This window comes from Homo sapiens, chromosome 2, assembly GCF_000001405.40.
Source record: "Homo sapiens chromosome 2, GRCh38.p14 Primary Assembly".
Classification (NCBI taxonomy): Eukaryota; Metazoa; Chordata; class Mammalia; order Primates; family Hominidae; genus Homo; species Homo sapiens.
In genome coordinates, this window is record NC_000002.12 from 119,718,888 (window position 1) to 119,741,360 (window position 22,473).

General features: G+C 45.7%; 1 protein-coding gene and 1 long non-coding RNA gene across 8 annotated transcripts in view; one reads left to right on the plus strand and one right to left on the minus strand.

The window, feature by feature from the left end:
- The window catches only part of TMEM177 (transmembrane protein 177), a 44,418-nt gene extending 39,687 nt beyond the window's left edge, over window positions 1-4,731 (plus strand). The window contains exon 17 of the transcript NR_148341.2: window positions 4,616-4,731. The gene's annotated coding sequence lies outside the window, so the exon portion shown is untranslated. The remainder of the gene's footprint in view (window positions 1-4,615) is intronic.
- The window catches only part of LOC101927764 (uncharacterized), a 41,770-nt gene that overhangs the window by 943 nt on the left and 18,354 nt on the right, over window positions 1-22,473 (minus strand). Inside the window, exons 1-4 of one of the 7 annotated variants that reach the window (XR_001739668.2) lie at window positions 15,385-16,099; window positions 14,738-14,824; window positions 11,399-11,488; window positions 4,315-4,637 (exon numbers count right to left, since the gene is read on the minus strand). This is a non-coding gene — a long non-coding RNA (uncharacterized LOC101927764). Of the gene's footprint in view, window positions 1-3,633; window positions 9,970-11,398; window positions 11,677-14,737; window positions 14,825-15,384; window positions 16,100-22,473 lie in introns of those variants that run through there. The other 6 variants (XR_001739670.2, XR_001739677.3, XR_007087215.1 and 3 more) reach the window with 6 other exon arrangements.

A 22,473-nucleotide genomic window follows, 5' to 3' on the forward strand; every position in this document is an offset into this window, starting at 1 on the left:
TTTTTTAAAATTGAAGTATAGTATTGTGTTTCTCGAACTTTAACGTGTGAGTGTATTGCCTGGCAATGTTGTTAAAGTGCAGCTTCTGATTCAGTAGGTGCTGGGACCTCGGTTCTGCATTTCTAACAAGCTCCTGGGTGATGTTAATGCTGCTGGGCCGTGGACCACACTTTGAGCCTCAAATATACCTACAGAAAAGTTCACGAATCATGCCCACAGCTTAATGGTCAACACACCCAAGTACCCATGACTCAGATTAAGAAACAGAGAACATTCCTTGTATCCCAGAAGCTGCCCTCCTGCCCCTTTCCAATCACTACCCTCATCCACCTCCCCTAAGGTGACAACACTCCTGAGCTCTATGCCATAGACTAGTATGGCTTGTTTTTGCACTTAATCTTAGCCAAAAGGCTGAGAAGTGAGATGTGTGGCTTCTTTCTAAACTTTACATAGTATGTGTTCTTTGGGGTAAAGTCTTGAACTTGATCAGCTGTCCAACCTCCCCAAGGCCAGGGGCTCAAGGAAAGCCACATCCTCCCCAGGCTCAGAGTGTGATTGCTGTAAGCCAAGCGTGGGTGCTGCCCCGGCCTCGTCAGTGACTGGTTTAGACATGGCATGAGGTGCAATTCTGGCTAGTGAGGAAAGTCTGCTGGGAGCTTTTGGGAAAGTTTTCCTTGTTGATGAAAAGATGCACAGAACAAAACACTCTTTGGTTTTTGTTTGAGGTTGTTGTTCCCAGAATAGTGGCAGTCAGCTTACAATCATGAAGGGAAACAGCTGAGGTCTCCAGTCAACATCTGAGGATGGGAAGGTGAAATGGAGTGGGAATGGGCCCAGGTCAGGGAGGCACTCACCTAGGGCACAAAGTTTGAGGGGTGCCCAAAATCTCAATCTCAGTAGTCAAGATTTTCTATATATATATTAGAGACAGTATCTCACTCTGTCACCCAGGCTGGTGTACAGTGGTGCAATCATAGCTCACTGCAGATTCGAACTCCAGGGCTCCAGAAATCTTCCCACCTTGGCCTCCCAAATAGCTGGGACTATAGGTGTGCACTACCACACCTGGCTAATTTTTTATCTTTTTTGTAAAGATGGGGGTTTCCCTATGATGCCCAGGCCAGTCTCAAACTCCTGACCTCAAGCAATCCTCCCACCACAGCCTCCCAAAGTGCTAGGATTATAGGTATGAACCACCGTGCCCAGCCTAGAATTAACAGTTTTAAAAATAAAATAATGCAAATATCCAAAATTTTTAAAAATATCAAAATTTTAAATAAACACAGGGTTACTAACAGTGCCATGCTGAGTGATACTGAAGCCCAGTGCAAAAAAAGAAAATCAGTAATGCTGATTGTCTTTACTTAAAATTTTGATATTTTATTCCCAACTTTTTTTTTTTTTGAGACGGAGTTTCCCTCTTGTTACCCAGGCTGGAGTACAATGGCGCAATCTCGGCTCACCGCAACCTCTGCCTCCCAGGTTCAAGTGATTCTCCTGCCTCAGCCTCCCTAGTAGCTGGGATTACAGACATGTGCCACCACGCCCAGCTAATTTTGTATTTTTGAGACAGGGTTTCTCCATGTTGGTCAGGCTGGTCTTGAACTCCTGACCTCAGATGATCCGCCCACCTCGGCCTCCCAAAGTGCTGGGATTACAGGCATGAGCCACCATGCCCAGCCTATTCCCAGTCAACTTTTTGCATTAATTTTCATTTTTAAAATATTGTCATAAATATTATTTATCTTGCTGACTGAATTTTTTTGGACGCCTGAAATTTCGTGCCAGCCTTGTCCCAACCCTGAGTGAAAAAGTGAAAACTCTGGAACTATTTTACCTCCAGATTTTCATTTTGTGAAATAATAGTTCTTATTGTTTAAGTTATTTTTTGTTGGGTTTTCTGTTTCTTGCAGTTCAAAGTATAATAGTCAATGTAAGATCAATTATCTACAAGTGCAGAAACCCAATTCAAACTGGCTTAAATAATGAGGAAAGTACTAGCTCATATTTCAGAGAATGCAGAGTAGTATGGGCTCTGGCTTTGTCTCCCTTCTGTTCTATCAGTATTTTCTCCATAACCTTCAGGTTTGTCTGAAGGTCAGGGTTGTATAATAAAGAATTTGTCTGGTCCTGTCTCAGGTTCCTGGCCCAGAGCTTCTTAAAATCTTTAGAATTTCCCAGGGGATAGGAGTGTTTTTGTTATTCATGAGCTCCATGGATTACACCTGAGTTTATGCTGAGATGGCTCAGGATTAAGACTGGTCACCAGAAAGACCAACCACGTAATTAGAGGGTTGGGGTTTTGAACCAGCCCTGCCTCCAAGGAGGGAAGGACAGCTGGAGATTGAGTTCCACCACATGGCCAATGTTCAGTCATGCCAATGGAATGGCACTCTGATAAAAACTCTGGATGTTGAAGCTCAGTGGATCTCCTGGTTAATGAACACACTGATGCACTGGGAGAGTGATATGGCCCAATTCCATGGGGAGAGAGCCCAGAAGCTCTGCATTCTAGAAGCTCTTAGGTCTTGTCCTATGCTCTTGATTGATATTCTTTATTATAAAACTATAATCATAATGTAGGCTTTCCTGAGTTCTGTGAGTCATTCTAGTAAATTATTGAACCTGAGAGGGATTGTGGGAACACCCAGATTTGTAGCCAGCTGGTCAGAAATGCTGGTGGTCTGAGACCCCACCTTGTGGTTGGCATTTGAAGTGAAACAGTCTTGTAGGGGACCGTGCCCTTTAACGTGTGGAGTCTCCACTAACGCCGGGTATTTGTATTTGCATCTGGGGAATCATATTACAGTACACCAGTTGGTGTCAGAACAGTTGGTATCAGAAGAGTCAGCCTCGTCCAGAGTCACAGAAGGGCTGCCAGCAGCAACATACCTACTAGTCTATTTCCAGCAAGAGAGATAGAAGAGCCTTTCCCCAAAATATGGAATTGATGACCATTCCTTCAGTCTTATTGTGCCCGCTTATGTCATCCTAGACCTAAGACAATCACCAGGAGAATGTCACATAATGATTGGTTTAAGCCCAGATTCTTAAACCAAGCACAGGGGATTATTGTGATTGGCTAATCAATCTTCCCATCCTGCCCACAAGAACCTAGAAATGGGGTCATTGACCCTTGGCCCATGTTAGCTATTTTGAGGAGTGGTAAATAATTAAACAAAGCTGACGTTCTGTTAGAAAGGGAACTGGGGGCCAGCTGTGGTGGCTCAAGCCTGTAATCCCAACACTTTGGGAGGCCACGTTGGGAGGATTGTTTCAGGCCAGGAATTGAGACCAGCCTGGGCGACATAGCAAGACCCCATTTCTACAAAAAGTTAGAAAAAATAAGCCAGTATAGTGGCACACACCAGTAGTCCCAGTTACCTAGGAGGGGATACGTGGACATATCACTTGAAAACAGGAGGTAAAGGCTGTAGTGAGCTATGATCGTACCACAGCACTCCAGCCTGGGCAACAGAGCAAGATCCTGTTTCTAAAAAAAAAAAAGGAAAAGGAAAAGAAGAAAAGAAAGGGAAGGGAAAATAAATAATGGAAGTTAGAAAGACCACCAACAGTCTAGCACCATATATAAGAGAGAATGGCCTTGATTTGAATCCTAAGTTCAATACTTACCAGCTGCGGGAAGAGACTCTGTTTTCTCATCTGTAAAAAAGAGGTAACAGTGTCTACTTGATGTAAGTGCTTATGAGGGTTAAATGAAAATGCATGGTGTCTGATATACAGCAGGTAAATAATTAAATGCATAGTGTCTAACATACAGTAACTGCATAACTAAATGCATAGTATTTGACACATCATAGGCACACAAATATAGTTCTTTCACCCAGTCTCCTTTAGACACTGAGTTCCTGGGGGGTGAGTGCAGTGCTTGCCGGGCATGGTGCTTGGCACATGGTGGGCCTTTAACAGATACTTATTAAAGGAATAAGGCAAGAGAACATCCCTCTGAATAACTGGAACCTTTTCCTTCTCCCTAATACTAAGGATTATGCAACTGTGTGGCCCATTCTTCCTTTGACACTAGGAACATTTTAGCTAACTGAATTTGAATTTCAGCTATAACAATTAGTTGGCCTTCCTAGACTACACATCTATGCTCCTCTGTATCTAATCGTGACTCTCTACTCCTAGTTTTCTCAGGCCTAATTCTCTACTTCTTTGTTTTTGTTTTCCCAGCATCATTTTGTTGTAAGTATCCCTGCTATAAGCCATCTTTGTGGAAAGAGATGGCGCAAAAACAGACGAGTAGACAAACCAAATGCTTTATAAAAAAGCCATCGAAGACACGTCAAGGAAGCCACTTTCCACCATTTATTAAATAAATTCTTTCCCAGGCCGGTCTGAGTCGCACCCAGACTTTACATCAGGCTTTGTTCCAGGTGGGTGGGGGTGCCAAAGGGAATACTGCGGCCTGAAAGACATCCAAGGAAAAAGGCTTCTTTTAGAGGCAAGTCCACATTACACAGTTGGCAATGCTAAGCTGAACGTCCTCCCAGCTTCCAGGGGGAAATGAAAGACATTCCCCCCATAGCTTTGCTTTCAAGCTCTTACAGCTGGCAGGGCAGGAGAGCCAAGTTCCGCCTTTTCAATGCAGGTTGTCACTTGGGTGCCAGGATCTGCTGATCAATTAGCCAAACATCCAACGTGAGAAAAAGGCCCAGCACACATCTTTTTGCTTAACTGTCATTAAATGCTCCATTTAACCCCAAAGAACCTGACTTTCTCTTTTTTTCATCTGCTATAGCCCAAGAACACCATTACTAAAGAATTTTTCTTGAAAAATTACAAAGGGAAGCAAAAGAAAGAAACATGATTTCTGAGCAGACCTCTCCTTCGCAGTTCTGCACCTGAGGCTCTTTGTTCTTCATGGGATCTGAGGTCTGGGAGGGAACTTGGGGATTCTCGAGAGTCACCTCATTGTACAGATTGAGAAGCAGATGCCCTGAGAGGTACAGTGACTCACCCAAAGTCACACAGCTGGTTAAGGGCAAGGGGAGGGCTAGACCCACATCTCCTGACTTTTAATTCACTCACTAAACCACATGCTTCTCCAGTACCGTACACTTAGCCACAAACTCTTTGAAGAGATTGAATAATTCAAACAGATGACGCCCTTGTAGAAGGACAAAGTGCGGGGCAGCCTCACTTCTATGTAAACCAACAACCCAAATAGCATAATGAAAGAGCCCAGTTTATTTTTCTTGTCACTCAAATTAAAATCATTTACAGGCAGACATTCCCTAACTCACAAATAAGCTGTGTCCTAACAGTGTGTTTGGAATTTGCTATTTAGAACCCAGGATGTGTTTTCTTCCTGGGAAATCACATGATCGAGTGTGGTCAGAACCCCAGGCCAGGTCACAAAGGGCGACTTAACCAATAAGTAACCACCGTGGAGTCGAAGGAACCCTTCATCATATTGTCTCCATGAAAAAACACATTCCAGGTTTCAAGTAGGAATAGTGGAAACGCAGCTATCCCACCAAGGTCCCAGTGCAAAGATGTCCCTCCCAGGCGCCTGGTGGGGAGCTGGGAGGTTAGGCTAGGTAAGAGCTAGGAAGCCGTGCAGAATTGTGAACTGGACATGCGCTTTGGGTGGAGACAGAACAGGTTTCCACTCCACTACTTAATAGCTGGGCAAGTTCCTTAACCTCTCTGATCCTCTGAAAAATGAGGATGGCAACAATACCTCACTGGTAAATTATAAGGACAAAAGAAGACAATGTCTGTTAAGAACCTATTTCCGTGTCTCGCATGTGTCAACAGGCTATCATTTATTATTGTGGTTGCTTGGGAGGAGAAGGACGGGCTCTGGTGGTTTGGAGAGCTGGGATGCTCCATTTGAGGAGGCAGCATCTGGGGTGAGGAAAGGCTCTTGCCATAGCCTGATGGGCAGGGGGCAGTGAGGGGACCCTGGGTTCTTACCCCCCATCCCTGCGCCTTAGGCAGTAGAAGTGGCAGCAGCTGTGGTTCCACCCCTGTCTGGGAGGAGGCGGCAAGGCCCTGGTGGGGCCCACAGTGGCCACTCCAAGCAGCCTGGTTGTTGAGAGGGTCGCCCTTGGCAGTGCTGGCTCATAAGCAGCTTCAGCCTTCCCCTGCCCTCTGTCATCATTCCTCCCCATCCCCGGGGGACGTCCCTGGCAGCTCCCACAGTGCTTCTCGGCCCTTTCAAGTCTCATTTCAGTGACTTAAAATGTCCAAGACAGTGTAACATCAAACTTTAAATTTTGTTAAGTTCAGTCTCCTCCCACAATCTGAGGCTTGCTCCAGGCTTAGAAGCGGCCTGAGGAGGAGTCGGGGGTCTGTGTTGCTAGTCTCTTCTCTCTCCTGGCTCTACTTCCAGCCCCCATTCTCACTAGCTGGGTTTCAGACCATCTGAGGCTAGGCCCAGAGGGAGAAGGGAGGGAGTTGAGCACAGCAGTGTGATCTGGCATGGGTCCTCTGGGTGTCTGATGCATGGGTGTTAGCTCTGTCCCCAGGCCCATGGCTCCAGAGCCCCTCAAAGCCCCTCACACCTGTCTTGAGGTAGGAAGGAAGTGCCAGAATCTTCCCCCAGAAATATGGTGCTCACCTGACCCAGTTTGCCTGGGACTAAGGGGTTTCCCGGGATGCAAGACTTCCATTGCTAAAGCCGGGAGAGTCCCAGGCAAACCAGCAGGAAACAGTCACCTGACCCAAGGGCGGCGGGCACATCATGACACTCAGCTCTCTCCCAAATAACCCTTTTCTCATGACTCTTCGGCCCAAGTGACCAGTGGGCTAGAGCTGGCAGGCCAGGTTTACACCTTCCTGGCAGGTCCTGCACAGGCAGCCTACCTCATGCTAGTAGGCAGATTCTCGGAATCTTCTAAATGGTTGTCTCTGGGGCCCCTGCCTAAAGTAAGACTCATCCTCGAATATGGACTAGAGGGATTTGCAGTGCCGTGGAGAATCCTGAGCTGAAAGGTTCACTGCATGCTTAGGAACATCTCAGCAGGGACTGAGATGCTGTACAGTATGGTGTAGGCTGTGGCCTGGGTTGAAATCTTAGTTCAGCCCCTCATTACCTTGGACTTTGTTACCTTTAACACCCCTGCGTCTCATTTCCTCACATATGAAATGGATGGATGATGGCCCCTACCTCACAGAGTTATCTGCAGCACTATGAGAATTAACTCATGTCACACATTGCCTGGGACATGGTAACTCCGCAATAGATGTTAACTCCTAGCAACGTTTTTATAGCAAGCCAGGATTGTGTAATAAAGACTTGAATATATTTAATAAGTTTCAAATCTACTGCAGGCATATTTTCTTAAGTTATTTTCTTCGTTTTAAAGCACATTGAAGAGCCAGTGTTGGCAAAGGCACCAGAGACAGGCCATGCACTCATGCTGATGGTGGGAGCGTAAATTTATAGTCTCTCTGGAAGGTCATTTAGCGATAGGTTTCAAAAGCCCTAAAAATGCTTTTGACCCAGCAATTCCACTTCTAGGAATTTATCCTGAGGAAATAATTGGAAAACTGGCTAAAGATTAATGTGCAAGATGGTTCATTGCAGTATACTTAAAACAGAAAAACATTTGAAGCTGTCTGAATGTCTTAGACGATCAGAAAAATTTTTGTTCATGCGTATAGTGAAATACTATGCAACTATTAAAAATTATGTCACGATCTATATTTGTCGACATGGGAGGGTGTTTATGATATATATAGTATACTTATATAGAGAGTGTACATTTTAAAATCATGTATATTCCAGGATTTTTTCTGAGCATGCGATTTAGTATTTAGCTGAGATCAAAATGTATATACAATACTGTATTTTGCTTTTGTTTTGCTTAATGTTATGTAAGAGTCATTTTGTACCATATATCAAACCTTCTATAAACTTCAATAGTAATAATATCCATCAAGTTGATGTTCCCAATTTAAATAACCAATCATTTATTGTTGGAGCAACTTATTCCAAAAATGTTTTAAGAGGTCGGGTGCGGTGGCTCACCCGTAATCCTAGCACTTTGGGAGGCCAACATGAGCAGATCACTTGAGGTCAGGAGTTCGAAACCAGCCTGGCCAACATGGTGAAACTCCGTCTCTACTAAAAATACAAAAAAATTAGCCGGGCATGGTGGTGCCTATAATCCCAGCTACTCGGGAGGCTGAGGCAGGAGAATTGCTTGAACCTTGGAGGTGGAGGTTGCAGTGAGCTGAGATCGCATCACTGCACTCCAGCCTGGGCGACAGAGCAAGACTGTCTCAAAAAAAAAACAAACTAAAAATGTTTTAAGGAATATATTGTTAACACCATCTTTGTGCCTAATACCTTTTTCATTTTCAGGAGCATTTTCTTAAAATTAATATATGTAAATTAAATTACTCAAACTATAGGAATATGCATGTATTTGAGGGGGACATAAATATTTTTAGGGCTTGCAATACATATTGACAAACTGCTTTCCAACAAGTTATACCAATTTATCCCAAGAATTGATTTGGAAATTGGATGCTTGTCCACTTTTCTCTGCAAAGAAAGAAGATTCCACTGTACATATGATGTCTTCCACAGATTTATTGTGCAAACTGAACGGATCACCCTTAGAGTATCTATCTGATCCTCTTGCCCTTATGAAGTCTCACACTTCCTGATGAAACTGTTCACCAAATTGCCACAGAAATGGAAAGAAAGGGGAAAAAAAGCAAAGAAAAAGGACTCCAGGGTAATGAAACCCCTACACATACTCACCAATAGATCAGTCTATGTGGCAAAAAAGTAATTTGATTATGCAATATGCAACTCAATACATTTCAGCAATTTTCAAGTGCATTTGAACTGCTCTTGAGAATGCCTTTATTTCAAAATTATTAACTATACAAAAATCAAGCGTGTTGAGAAGAAAACATCCTAGTAGAAGTCTCAGACAAAAACTGAAAGATAAAAGACTGGAAGAAGTTACAAAATGTCAAAAACTCTTTTGTTCTATCACAACAGAAGCTAAAAAGCCTGATAGACAAAAGCATGAAATTGAGAAGAAGAATCATAATAGCTAAGAAAATATAAATAATAAAGATGAGAAGAGAGAATAATTATAAAAATCAGATCATGCCAAAGTAGTACTTGATTAAGAGGAAGAGATAAATTTGGAGCATAATTGTTTGAATAACCCAATTTAATGAAGGGGAGTGAATCATATGAATATGTTGAAAGAAGGATTTGCAGTCTTGGTGATTTGATCACAAAATACAGACATCGACAACAATAACATGAACCCTACTACTAGGATTAGTTACTACTAGGGTTAGTGCCTACTAACATGTAGCCACTACTACAAGGACATCAACCAAAAAGAATAGGAAAAAAATATAGCCCAAAATGTAGAAAAAAAGCATACTATAGTGATATGTCCAAGTTAACCAATACAAATATTGTTATGCTTCTAGATTCTGCGATGTATGCAGTATTTGTTAGCTTTTCAGGATGTGCGATTTGTTGTGATTTCTCCTAAATTAATATTCACATTGATGCCTAATTTTGTCTTCATAATTTGATATTCTTTTTCTTACAATGAACTCCAGTTCCTATAAGCCTCAGGTTCCCAGAAACCTACATCTGCCCTGCTGTTAACACTGAGTGCCTGTAAATGTTCTTAGAGAAGATTCTAAGTCCAGCTCAGCTGATCTCCATCATCATACCTGGCATGTTTTATAACAAGAAGGGTTACCACAGCTAAAGTACTCTTGGGAAGGATTATGCAATGCCAGAAAGATTCTCTCTTCATAAGTCCCATAGGTGAAAGAGGGGTCAATTCACTGAAGCTGTCAACATTCAACATTCAGACATGGCCAGGCACAGTGGCTCACACCTATAATCCCAACACTTTGGAAGGACAAGCTGGGAGGATCACTTGAGGCCAGGAGTTGGAGACCAGCCTGGGCAACATAACAAGACCCAATTTTCTTCTTTTTTGTCTGTACAAAGAAAAAAATAAAAATTAGCCAGGTGTGGTGGTATGCACCTGTAGTCCCAGCTACTTGGGAGGCTGAGGCAGGAGGGATCACATGACCTCAAGAGTTTGAGGCTGCAGTGGGCTATGATCACACCACTGCACTCCAGCCTGGGCACCTGAGACCCTGTCTCAAAAAAACAACACAGTCAGATATTTACTGAGCATCTACTATATATGCCATGAACTGGGGACACAAACAAATGCTAAGATGCTAGTGAGAAAGACAGCTCTGCAAAGAAGCCATCAGTTTGGGAACCACTGCTACTCAGCTGAGCACACTCTTGAAGCAACTCTCCTTTCACCCACTGTCTTTTCCACCTAGCTCCAGGACCTGCTTCCTTCCCCATCTAAGACATGCCGTCTTAGGCAGACATCATAGGTCTCTTTAAGTCACAAGAAGAGTAGTTGTATGTCTGTGTCTGATCCAAGTAATAATCAAAATGTTCAATTTCATTTAAAGTTAAAGCGTCTCGTCTCTGGCTCGGAAGCCTGAAGTGATGGAGATGGTCATCTCCTCCTCCTGTCCCCTCCCTTCTTCCACCTCCCACTCCCTATCCTGATGAGGCATTGAGGTGGGGGACCAGGATGACAGAGCAGAAATGATCTTACTTGACTGCTTCAGTTGTGAGCTGCCATTGGGGTTTCTAGGGCTGACTTTTCTTTGGGGTGCTTTTGTGGGTTTCTTGGAGAAGCCACTTGAATTTCTGCTATAAAGCTCCCAACTTAGGGTTGCCAGATAAAAATACAGAATGTCCAATTAAATTTGAAGTTTAGATAGATAAAAATAAAAAAAGATCTAGTGTATGTCCCAAATATTTCATTTAACATATACTAAAAACATACATGTTGTTTACCTGACATTCAAATTTAAACGAGTATCTTGTATATTTATTTGTAAAATCTGGCAACCCTATCTCAACTACACTTTTCATTATGAGGTTGGGATGTGTGTAGTTGTGGGGCAGGGTCTCAGCAGCCCTTGGGTCTCTGGTTTTCCAGTGGCCCACATCTCTGTTGGGTCCCTTTGCCCTTCCAGGCAGCCCACTTGGGTGGAGTCCTATTCAAAAGGGCCCCCATCTGGTCCCTGGGAGCCACACACCTTCACCCCACTGCCCTCTGGGGCAGGGCACCACTGGCCACGGCAGCCCTGACTTCTCAGACCAGTCCTCACGTTTCCCCAAACACTGAAAGGTGTGGGGAGAGCTCTCCGTGCAACCCTTGTCACTTCCTTGAGGTGAGGGGAAGCACTTGCTGCCCCACCCCATGGAAGGGCAACAGGGGTGGTGGGAACACACAGCCCTCAGCCCACCCTCTTCAAGGAAACCCTCCCTGATGCCTCGATCTGAGGCTGGAAGTGCGCGAAGGGCTGACAAAGGAAGTTTTCCACTCACCAAGCTTGTCCTGGGCAGGGTCTCAGCACTGTGCGGATGTGCGGCTCCTTGCACTATTTTGTTCTGCCTTTGAGGCCTCTGCTGAAATGTCTAGATAACAGGAAAAGTCCCTTTTACCATCCAGTTATACTCCCTTGTTACGAGTGAAGTCCAAATGGGGCACAAGGGAGCAGGAAGAAGAGTTTATTTGGCTGGGCCTAGGGGTAATCAGGAAGGGGTGCAGCGAAGAGGAGCCGCCCCTCACTCCGTGCTGCACAGACAACATGCTTATGAATCTCCAGGGATCACGTTAAACAGCAGATTTGGCTTCAGTAGGTTTGGGGTGGGGCCTGAGATCCTGCATCTCCTACAGCTCTCAGGTGATGTCCTCAGATGCACTTTGAGCACAGAGGGGCTAGAGGGCTGTGTAGGAGGGGCTGCTAGGCCCTCGGGGGAGGTGGGAAGGAAGGGGCATTGCAGGCCAGGGAACAGCAAATGAAATGCAGAGGAAGACCTCAGGTCTGGTAACACTGCCTCCGCAGGTTCCAGTATGCGGTCAGAGGCTAAGAGGGCCACCCACACTCGTGGGAGGGGAATGGGGGAGCTGGCAGTAGATGAAGTTCCAGGGGGGTCCTGACTGTGCGTGAAAAAGCTGGAACAGGAAAAGCAAGCTGAGTGGGTTCCACTGGCGTCAGCTCTTGTAAAAACACTTGACGAGCTAGCCTACATAGTTGTATTTCACAAAGCCATGTGAACATTAATTACTCAGGGCATCTGATGGCTCGACCACAGAGTGCATGTGATGGACACATTCAAGTCCTGCTTTGCACAATGCCCAGCTGGCACTGGCAACAGCTGTAGTTCACATGACTGTCTCCTGATGTGCACAGGTGGTATGAGTCACCTGGAAAAGGTTTACTGCCTCAGTGTAACATCTGCAGAGGGTCAGCAAATCACATGGCCTAATCTGCCTGTGGGTGGCAAGCTAGCGGCCTCCTAAAGATGTCCACTTTCTAATGCCCAGAACTAGTGAATAGGTGACCTTACATGGCAAACAAAAGGGCCTTTCCAGATGTGACTCAGTTAAAGACTTTGAGATGGGGGGACTACTCGGGGTTGTTCAGGTGGGTCCAATCTAATCACACGAGTCCTTAAAAGTAGAGAACCAGCCAGGCGCGTGGCTCATGCCTGTAATCCCAGCACTTTGGGAGGCCAAGGCGGGTGGCTTGCTTGCTGGTCATGTAGACCAGCCTGGCCAACATGGTGAAACCCCATCTCTACTAAAATACACAAATTAGCTGGGCGTGGTGGCGGGTGCCTGTAGTCCCAGCTACTAGGGAGGCTGAGGCAGGAGAACTGCTTGAACCCAGGAGGCGGAGGTTGCAGTGAGCCCAGATGACGTGACTGCACTCCAGCCTGGGCGACAGAGCAAGACTCCGTTCCAAAACAAACAAAAAAAAGTAGAGAACCTTCCCCACTCATGGTCTGAGAGAGAGAGAGAGGTGAAAACTGAGGAAAGGTAGAGAGGTGGCAGCATGAGGAGGAGCCCTGCTGCTGGTTCTGGGATATCAGGGTTCATAGACAAGGATAAGAGAGAGGCCTCCAGGGGGGAGCTAAGGGATCCCCCCCAGTGACAGCCAACAAGGAAATGGGGACTTCAGTCCCACAACCTTGTCGAACTGAATTCTGCCAACTGACAAGAAAATGCATTCTCCCCTAGAATCTCCAGAAAAGAATGCATTCTTGTGTCCAAGTGAGGCTCATGTCTGACCTGCAGAACTGTATAATGATAAATTATGTTGTTTGAAACCGCTACATTTGCGGTAATTTGTTACAGCAGCAATAGAAAACGAATCCCCTGCCCAGAATGACTTCCTCCTTTCCTGTCGGACGAAGGCTCAGGCCTTCTGCTGAAAGCTCGCTCCCCTAAGTAGTCACACCCAATGCCGAATACTCCCCAGAAGCAGCTGCTATTTTCTGAGGACAATGAGTTGCTTGTAAGCCTGAGAACAGGACGAAAACCCACTTTGCAAGCAGCCCTGCGTGTGACGGGCATGCCCTCGGAGGGCAGGTTGGTTTTGCTATCTGCTTTCTGTCCTGCCTTTTTCCCCCCATGGGTCCTGTCTGGCTCTTTTGCTTTCTCACTTTGTGCAGAAAGCCATCTCAACTCTTCTCACAGGAGAATAGCTGTATGGACGTAGCAGGGGGAGTTACCACATGCCTACCTCCATGGTTTTCGAGAGGGGCCCCTGCCCAAATGTCTCAGTGGCCACCTTCATCAGACCATGGAGCAGTCAGAGCGGGAAGGGATTCTAGAGTTGGTCCAGTCCAACCATCTCATCTTACATGTGAAGGAGGAAAGGAAGAAAGGGAGAAAAATAAGAAAGCTGAGGTCAACCCTCCTACAGGGATGGGCCTGGCCAACAGGATCCCAAGGGATGACATAACATTGAAATTAAGAAACCAAGGAAAGTTGAGAACTAAAGAAAACAGAACCCAGTCAGCCAAGAGGCATCCTTGAGGGCCAACCAAGCCGTCAAACCTGGATGCCCCCGACAAGTCAGAAAGTCGGGTGCCTCAAGAGCCAAGCAGCCAAGAAATGGGGTCTGGAACTGGCACTTTGGTCCGCCTCTGTGCACTCACCCAGAAAGGGTGGAAGGGACCCTGGGACCAAGTGCCAAGGTCACACAACGGATGAATAGAGCTGCTGGACTTCAAACTGAACCATGCCATTTTGCCAAAGCAGTCATCACCTTCCGTGAATCATAAATGTTTGTTCAAAGCCACAAATGTATATACTCTTTGTATGTATACAGATTTTTTCTAAAGGTTAACATCTAAACAGATCAATTAAGGTCAGCCTTAATTTGTCTGAGCTTTTTGGTTAAAGTTTCCTGAGTAATTGAGCGAATTCAAGTTTCTGGCTTTCTCCTTTTTCTTTCTCCATTTAAAACATGATCTCATGAAATTTTTGTCCCAAGAAAGGCAGGATTACATTTTCTTTTAACAGTTTGAGTTGGTGTAGTGTATTCTTGGTTATCAGAATACTCATATAGCTTTAGGATTTTGAATTGGTAAATATTCATGATGTGTGAAAAATCATGATACATACTGTACAATCTCAGTGCCATAAAATTGGATGTTGTGCCTACACACGCACAGGACCTAGAAGAGCATGTCAAACTATAAACTGCCTGTGATTGTGAATGACTTTGTTCTTTGCTTCTTGCGTTTTTCAGTTTCCTATAATGCACATCTTAACTTTTAAAAAATAAAGGTTATTTTAAAAGCCAAAAAGAAAAAAAAAGATCTCTAACCTGTTGGCTGGTTAAAATTTGAGAAAATTAGACAAATGCTTACTTTTCCCTTTTTGGCTGACAAACAAAAGCCCAGTGAGGTATCCTCATCTGTAGAGATTTATGTCCTTTGTGGGGGGCCTGCTTCTCCCTCAAGATAGAGTAAAAAAAAAATCAGTGGTGTCACTTGGGCTCAAAAGGACAGAAGACTTGACACTGGAGTTTGAGGGTCCCAGAGGGGCTCAGCCACATAGACCTTCCTGCCCCACCCTTCCTACCACAGCCCTTTTTAGGAGCTGCCCCTACCCCCACAAGACTGTCCTTTGTTGCTGAACTATTAATTACTTAAATAGTCATTGATCACCTACCCTTTGCTAGGCCCAGGAGTCCTGTGAGATGGGCTCTTCCCTTAGTCCTCATTCCCACTGGCTATTGACACCATCCCCCGCTACACCCCCAATTCTACTATCCCCTTCCAGCCCGACACAGGACTTGCCTCTCTGAGCCTCTGACCTCTGCTTTCTCCCAGCATCTATTTTGGTTCTTCCTCCTTGGCTCAGTAAGTACATGGACAATCCCAGACCAGCCTTAAAGGCAGCCACCCCCCATGTTGGCCTCAGCCTCAGGGGCAGGGGAGGATCCTGGCCTACAAATCATGCACTCAGAGCTACAGTCCAGTCTCTGCAAGGACTGGCAGCAGACGGCGCTCACCCTGGGAGACCGAGTCCAGACACCTGTTCCCTGGCACAGCAGAAGCCCTCCACCCAGGCCCTGGAATGACAGCCCTGACTGATCTCCTGAAAGTGAGCTCTCCTGAAAGTGAGCTCAGGCTGTCCATCTTCCCTGAAGTCCAGTCCATCCCTTGCAAAGCCAGTTTCCGCTATCCCATCATGATTAATGCTGAAGCTCTCTTTCCAACCTTTGAAATGCCTTTTCATGCCATGCATTTAGAGAAAGGGCTCTGCCATCTGCAGAGGACCTGTGCGGAAATGTGGGGAAATGACCGTGTGTTTATTTATGTCATCCATTGTTAGCTAAGAATATCCAGGTGTTCTAATAATGGAGGTACCAAGAAAGGAAACAGTGTTGGATGGTGGGAAGGACGCTGGGCTCGGGGCAGGAAAACAAGTCCCACAGCCCAAGCTGAGTGACCTTCAGCAAGTTTTTGTTCTTTAGCCTCAGTTTCTTCCTCTGCAGAAAAAAAAAAAAATGAGTCTACAGTACTTGCTATGCTGACCTCAAAGGGATATAACAAGAATCCAATGAAAGGATGTATGTGCATCCCAAATTTGCTCAGGCCCAGCACCAGAGGGACAAATGAATCCACATTAACAGATGTCACTGGGGCCTCCCACCTGCTGACACAGGCCTCCAGCACTTCCCCATAGAAGTTTCACTGAAATATTTTTCAGAGTGCCTAGGTGTGTCTCAGGAGGACCCCATGCAACCTTCTTTCTCGGTTCACTGCCTGAGAAGACTCTCCCTATAGCCACTATGTCCCAAGCAGGGGCTGAATCTCAGGGCTCTCAAAGCTGCAAAAGACAAGAGGTGTCAAAATGGTCTGTCCCCTCTCGGAATGCACCCCCACCTCCTGACAGAGGGACACCTGGAGGCTGGGTCATGCTCGGGAATGTCCACGCTGCAGGTTAGTTCAGGAGAACATCCCTACGCAGAGGGCAGGGCCCAGGCTGAGGGGTTTATTCAGGTTGCCACTGGATCCACCCAGCTGCCTGGAGACAGGGATTGTCCTCATTTGACCAAGTCACACAGCTAGTAGTAGTAGGTGGTGGAACCCTGTGGTGGACATTGGTCATTCTGGCTGCTTAGCATCTAGGTATACTTATTCTATGCTTTCTTGCAGAAGTTGTGCAGTTTTCAATCTTATATTTAGGTCTATGGTCCAACCTGAGTTAATCTTTGTATATGATGTCAGGTTAGCATCAAGGTTCTTTTTCTTTGTATTGGATGTCCACTTGTGGATATACAGTACTTCTTATTTGGGAGGAACATCAGGGTAAGTGTTCCATTTGCCCGCTACAGAAGATTCCATTGCCCAGTACAGAAACCAAGCTGAAGGGGAAGCTTTCCGCTCTCTAGTTGCTTAAAGGTTTCACCCTTTAGGCAGACAAGCCAAAGCACATGGTCATTTAGGGATTAGATGAGGTGGCTGTGAACAGCAGTGACAAGTGCCCCTCCCAAGTCGGTGGCTCTCAAGGTGGCCTCTGGACTGTGCCTGTCCTCCTCTACGTCTTGCCCCCGCCAAGGCCTCCCAGCGGCCCCATGATGCCATGCGCTTCCCACTGCTCCTCACGTAAATTCCTTCTCTGCTAAAGTTAACCAGAAACAGTTTGTGTTTGCAACCAAATTTGCAGCTGCTACAAGGCAGAATTCAAACTCTGACAATGTCTTGCTAAAAAACCCATGTGCTTTCTAAAATACCGTTCTTGGTGCACTGTTAAAGCTTATGTACATATAAGACATAATTATTATTACAATGCATTAAATTGGATGATATCCTAGTGAGATAGGTGGCAGGGTGGTGGTAATCACGGAAAAAAGAAAGCTCAAACCATCAAGGCTAGATGCTGTCAAGCTACAGGCTCACAGAAAGCTTTGGGAGGAAAAGAGCTACACGAGTCAGGAAAACAGCAGATTAAATAGGAAGCACCCAGCTGGGTAATGCGATTCCACCGCCTCTTTTCCAAAGAACTAAATTCAGCTGTGGCTTAAAAAAAAAATTCCTGTATGGTTTGTGGGTGGTCATAGTCATGAAACCTAGAATTTTAAAGCCAGGAAGGACCTTAAAAATCATCTGACCTTCAGACCCGCCTGGGTTTTATAAAAGAAAATCATCTATTGTACTGGCCTCATTTCCTAGATAAGGAGACTGGTTCCCAGTTAGGTTGCAAGACTTAGGAAACATCACATGCAAGGCAGTGACAGAGCCAGACTACAGGGAGGCTTTCTCTTTACCTTCACCCTTCGGAAAAGGGTGGTGAACACAGTCCAAAAAGTCAGAGGGGAACCGCTCTTACACAGTGGGAAACTAGACATTAGTTTAAGTAAGAAATCAAATTGCATGTTATGCCAGTCTTGTCATCTCTGTGAAGTCACTGATTCATTCTCAAAACCATCACCCTGAGATATACCCACTCTTTCCTGTGTTTCTACTGGGGAACTATCCAGGTAAACCTCTCCTCCCAAGGTCCTCTAGAGTGTTCCTGAGGCCCATACTTAAATAAAGCATTTGAGGGCCAGGATGTACTTGAAGTTCTTCTTCAAAGTATGTGTTTTTCTGCAGTTTACACAGGCTGTCGTACATGTATCACCTGGGAGGAGTGATAGGCTGTGGCGTTATCTCAGTGCTATGGTTTTAGCTTATAGACAGTCATTCCCATTAGCCCCTAGGGAAAAGGGATGCTGAAGAAATTCAACAGAAGACCTAAAGTTTCTATCGAGGCATTTTCACACAATCAGCCTACACTCTGAGTACAATTTAGGGAAAAGCTTTCCTTCTCCAAAATGCATTTTCTTAAGAGGCTCTGGAAGTTAGGGGAGATGTTAGAGACAGCTGACCACCTTCCCCTGTGAAGGGGCCTCCTCTCCAGCCGATCCTCCCCAGCAGCCTGAGCTTCCTAGTCAATCAGAGAGCTGTGGCCCCCCACAGCAGCAAAGTGATGTAAGCCTCAGGGAGAATGAGATCGCTCAGTTTGTAGTGATGTGGAAAGTTCTCCAAGGTTCATTGGGGATGCAAAAGTGTGATAATTTGATCACATAGGTGTAAAAAATAAACATATATGATTTAGCAAAATACATAGACAACTTCCAAAAGGAGACACATGAAACCATTAACAGTGTTTGCTCCTGAAGAGCAGGACTGGAATATCAAGGAGGGAGGGGATATTTTTGCTTTTTGCTTAAAACATTTCTGTAATGTTTACCTTAATGGCAATAACAAGAACGATGAATACAGGTTACCTTTATAATTAAAAGTAGAAACTATTTTTTTTAATCCGGTTTCCAGTTTCCAGAGCATTAGCCCTCAGACCTGGGTGGGTGGGGCTCAAACATCCATATCTCAGTAAGTTCTTCTGATGATTCTAGTGTGCGGCCAGAGTTGAAAACCACCGGGTCAAGGCATTGAGGGTCCCTGGTAATGTAGGAAGTGGGAAAGGAGGTAATGTATGAAGTGTTATGGTGTTATCTTAATATGAATCTCTCTGTCAGGTTAGCTTCTGGGGAGAAAGAGGTGCTGGCAAAATTCAGCAGAAGAGCTAAGCAGTGTGTTTCCTGGGATAGAAGTGGGTTCCTCAGGTAGGCATCTCAGGGGGCAGCCAGAGGGCACTTGGGTTGATGCCCAGGAAGCGGAGAAGAGAAAGCAAGAGAAGGCAGTTCAGGCCCACGGAGCAGGCCTCCGAGGCCCCCTATGTCCCCAGAACCATTGGCTCCATAGCCTCTGTTCTCCCCACCACAAAGCAAGGACTTGTAATGTAGGAACCCACAGGCAGTTTGAATATTTGTTGTATTTGGAAGCCTCCAAATTCTGTTTAAAAATAATTCTGGGTTTCTTTCAAAAGGCAGGTTGGGGAGAAACATCTGGAATAAAATAAACCCGCAGACCACTTGCACAGACCAAAAGGGAAAGAAAAAACATCCCACTCCAAATTACGTTATTCCCAAAAGAGCCAGGAAAGACATGAATGGGGGAAGGAAGAGTAAAAAACAAACCTCTAAATGATGTTAAGAGAGGGTGGGGAAAACCAGGGTGGAGGTCGGTCTGACAGTACTTTGCTCTCACATTTTGGAAAGAAAGAAGTTCCATTTTAGTAATTTTGAGTCTTTCTCAAAAAAGTAATTTTTCTGTACAGTTCTAAATGATACACTTGAGTCAATTCTGAGGAGCTTCACACACAACTGGTATCTACATTCCCCTCATCCCCATAGACCTGGCTAAAGAGTCAGTGTCCTGGCAGGGCACGGTGGCTCACACCTGTAATCCCAGCACTTTGGGAGGCCCAGGCGGGCGGATCACGAGGTCAGGAGATCGAGACCATCCTGGCTAACACTGTGAAACCCCGTCTCTATTAAGAAATACAAAAAATTAGCCGGGCATGGTGGTGGGCGCCTGTAGTCCCAGCTACTCGGGAGGCTAAGGCAGCAGAATGGTGTGAACCCGGGAGGCGGAGCTTGCAGTGAGCTGAGATGGCGCCACTGCACTCCAGCCTGGGCAACAGAGCAAGACTCTGTCTCAAAAAAGAGTCTGTGTCCTACCCCACTAATAATGGTTGTCCTCTCAGGGAAAGCATGTTTCTGACAGACATTGTTCTCAGCAGCAGGGCTGGTGTCTGCATGTTCCATGTACTGAGTTGAAAAGGAGCTGGCATCCGCAAGATCTCTTTCAGAAGGGCTGATGAAGGCCTTCCAGATCATCAGCTGCAATTCCCATTGCAAATCAGTTCATCTTAGGAAATGTCTGCCGTGGGGACAAATCTTTACTGAGAGCCAACATCTCAATGGCTCATGTTGACTCCTTTAGGATAGCTAGGGGAGCCGAGCATTGCTCCCCTAGCATTGCTAAGCATCTAGTAGGGACCCTGTAGAAGTGATGTCTCTTATTCTTGCTCAGTCCTGTGAAGTCATTTTTACTGTCCACATTTCACAGATGAGGAAGTTGAGTCCTCTATGATAGCTAGGGGAGCCGGGCATTGCTCCCCTAGCATTGCTGAGCATCTAGTAGGGACCCTGTAGAAGTGATGTCTCTTATTCTTGCTCAGTCCTGTGAAGTCATTTTTAATGTCCACATTTCACAGATGAGGAAGTTGAGTCCCAGGGAGTCTGGGCTCCAGAATCAGGCAAATCTAGCTCCTCTACTCAGCAGTAGTGACTTCAGGCAAGTTACTTAACTCTCTGTGTCTCGGGTCCCTCCTCTTTAAAGTGGAGAGAACAATGAAACCTCTCTCATAGTAACAGAGAAGATTGAGAGAATGCCTCTCAAAGCATTTAGCAGACAAATATGCAACCAATAAATATTAGGTGCTATTGTTATTGATGTTGTAATGATTTAAAGGGTTAAATAGCTCACTTGAATTAAGTAATTCAGCACTGTAATAAAGTGCTGAAGCTGGGATTTTTGTTGTTGTCTTAGCCCCAGCACAAACTCTCATTACTCAGCACTGTGTCTCTAAGCTGAGGATGAAAGACAGAGACACAGACGTCAGACAGAGGCACCTGTCCTCTTCCCTCAAGGGACAGCAAAGTAGCTAAGGGTATAGATTAGGTAGATGTTGCCTTCTGGACACAAGGTTTATTTTGTGGCTTATTAGAGAGTGGGACTGACTGTCTGTCACCTGCTGTAACACAGGTCTAGGATGAGGCCCAGGAGAATTCTGCTGACCATGCAGCAGGCAGGGCCAGAAGCTGGGAACAGGCTGGCAAGGGCTGGAGAAACTGGGCACCACAGGCACTGGTGCAGGGAGGGGACACAAGGTCTGGGCACCGTGTCTGTGGGCTCAAAAGGCTGACAGTTTGGAACCATCTGGGGGATGTGGTCAGCCAAGCAGGCTGTTGGGGGAAGTGCCCAAGTCAGCAGGCTGCAGCTGAACTCAAAGGAACCTGACATGGATCTGGCAGCCAACGGGTGACCTGCAGGTGTGGAAAGTGGGATCCTGGGTTCTAGGGTCCCTTGGGGAGGTCACTGGCTATCAGTAATTTACTGGTAGCCCTGGCCATTCCTAGTCTTTCCTAGTGAGGGTGTGTGTAAAGAACCCACAGGAAGGCCGGGCGCGGTGGCTCATGCCTATAATCCCAGCACTTTGGGAGGCCGATGTGGGTGGATCACCTGAGGTCAGGAGTTCAAGACTAGCCTGGCCAATATGGTGAAACCCTGTCTCTACTAAAAATACAAAAAAATTAGCCAGGCATGGTGGTGCATGCCTGTAATCCCAGCTACTTGGGAGGCTGAGGCAGGAGAATTACTTGAACCCAGGAGGTGGAGGTTGCAGTGAGCTGAGATTGCGCCACTGCACTCTAGCCTGGCAACAGAGTGAGACTCCATCTCAAAGGAAAAAAAAGAACTCACAGGAAAATAGGAGTCAAGCACTATCATTGCTATGCTAGGCACTTTGCACGTCCCATCTCAGTTCCCACAACAGGCCCATGTGGTAGCTATTCTCATTCCCCAGGTTATCAAGGAGGAAACTGAGGCTCATACAAGTTAAGAAATTTGCTCAAGGTCAGCGTTAGAGTGTCTAATAAGCTAAATAAATGTCTGCTTAGGATACCTGCAAAGCAAGAGCACCTAAAAATTTGCTTCTGAAATAATTTTAAAATTGATTTTTCTAAGACTGCATCAAGGGAATCATTGCTGGAAAAAGAACTTTGTTGAATTTCCTTACAATTATTTTTATGCCCTAAACAGAATGGAAAGGGATAGGTGGAAAAAAGCTTTCTCCTCACTTTTCTCTCTTTTTATAGTGAGGGAATGAGGTGATTGGGAGGAAGAGGGAGGATTCTTTTCAAGAAGTCCTCAGAAAATGTCCTCCAACATCCCATTGGCTAGGACTGGGTCGCACACACCCCTAGACCAGTCACTGGCAAAGAGAAACCACATTGTGTTGATTGTCTTACAACAAGCACAGTGTGTACTGTGGTGCTGGGCAAATGGCCACATCAACAACACTGGGTTCTGTTAGCAAGAAGAAAGGGCCAACATAATGGTGGTTGAGTAGGCTATGGATGGAGCTATCGCAACCCTTCAGGTGCTCCCAAATCCCAGAGAAGCTAGGAAAGCACAGACGTTTC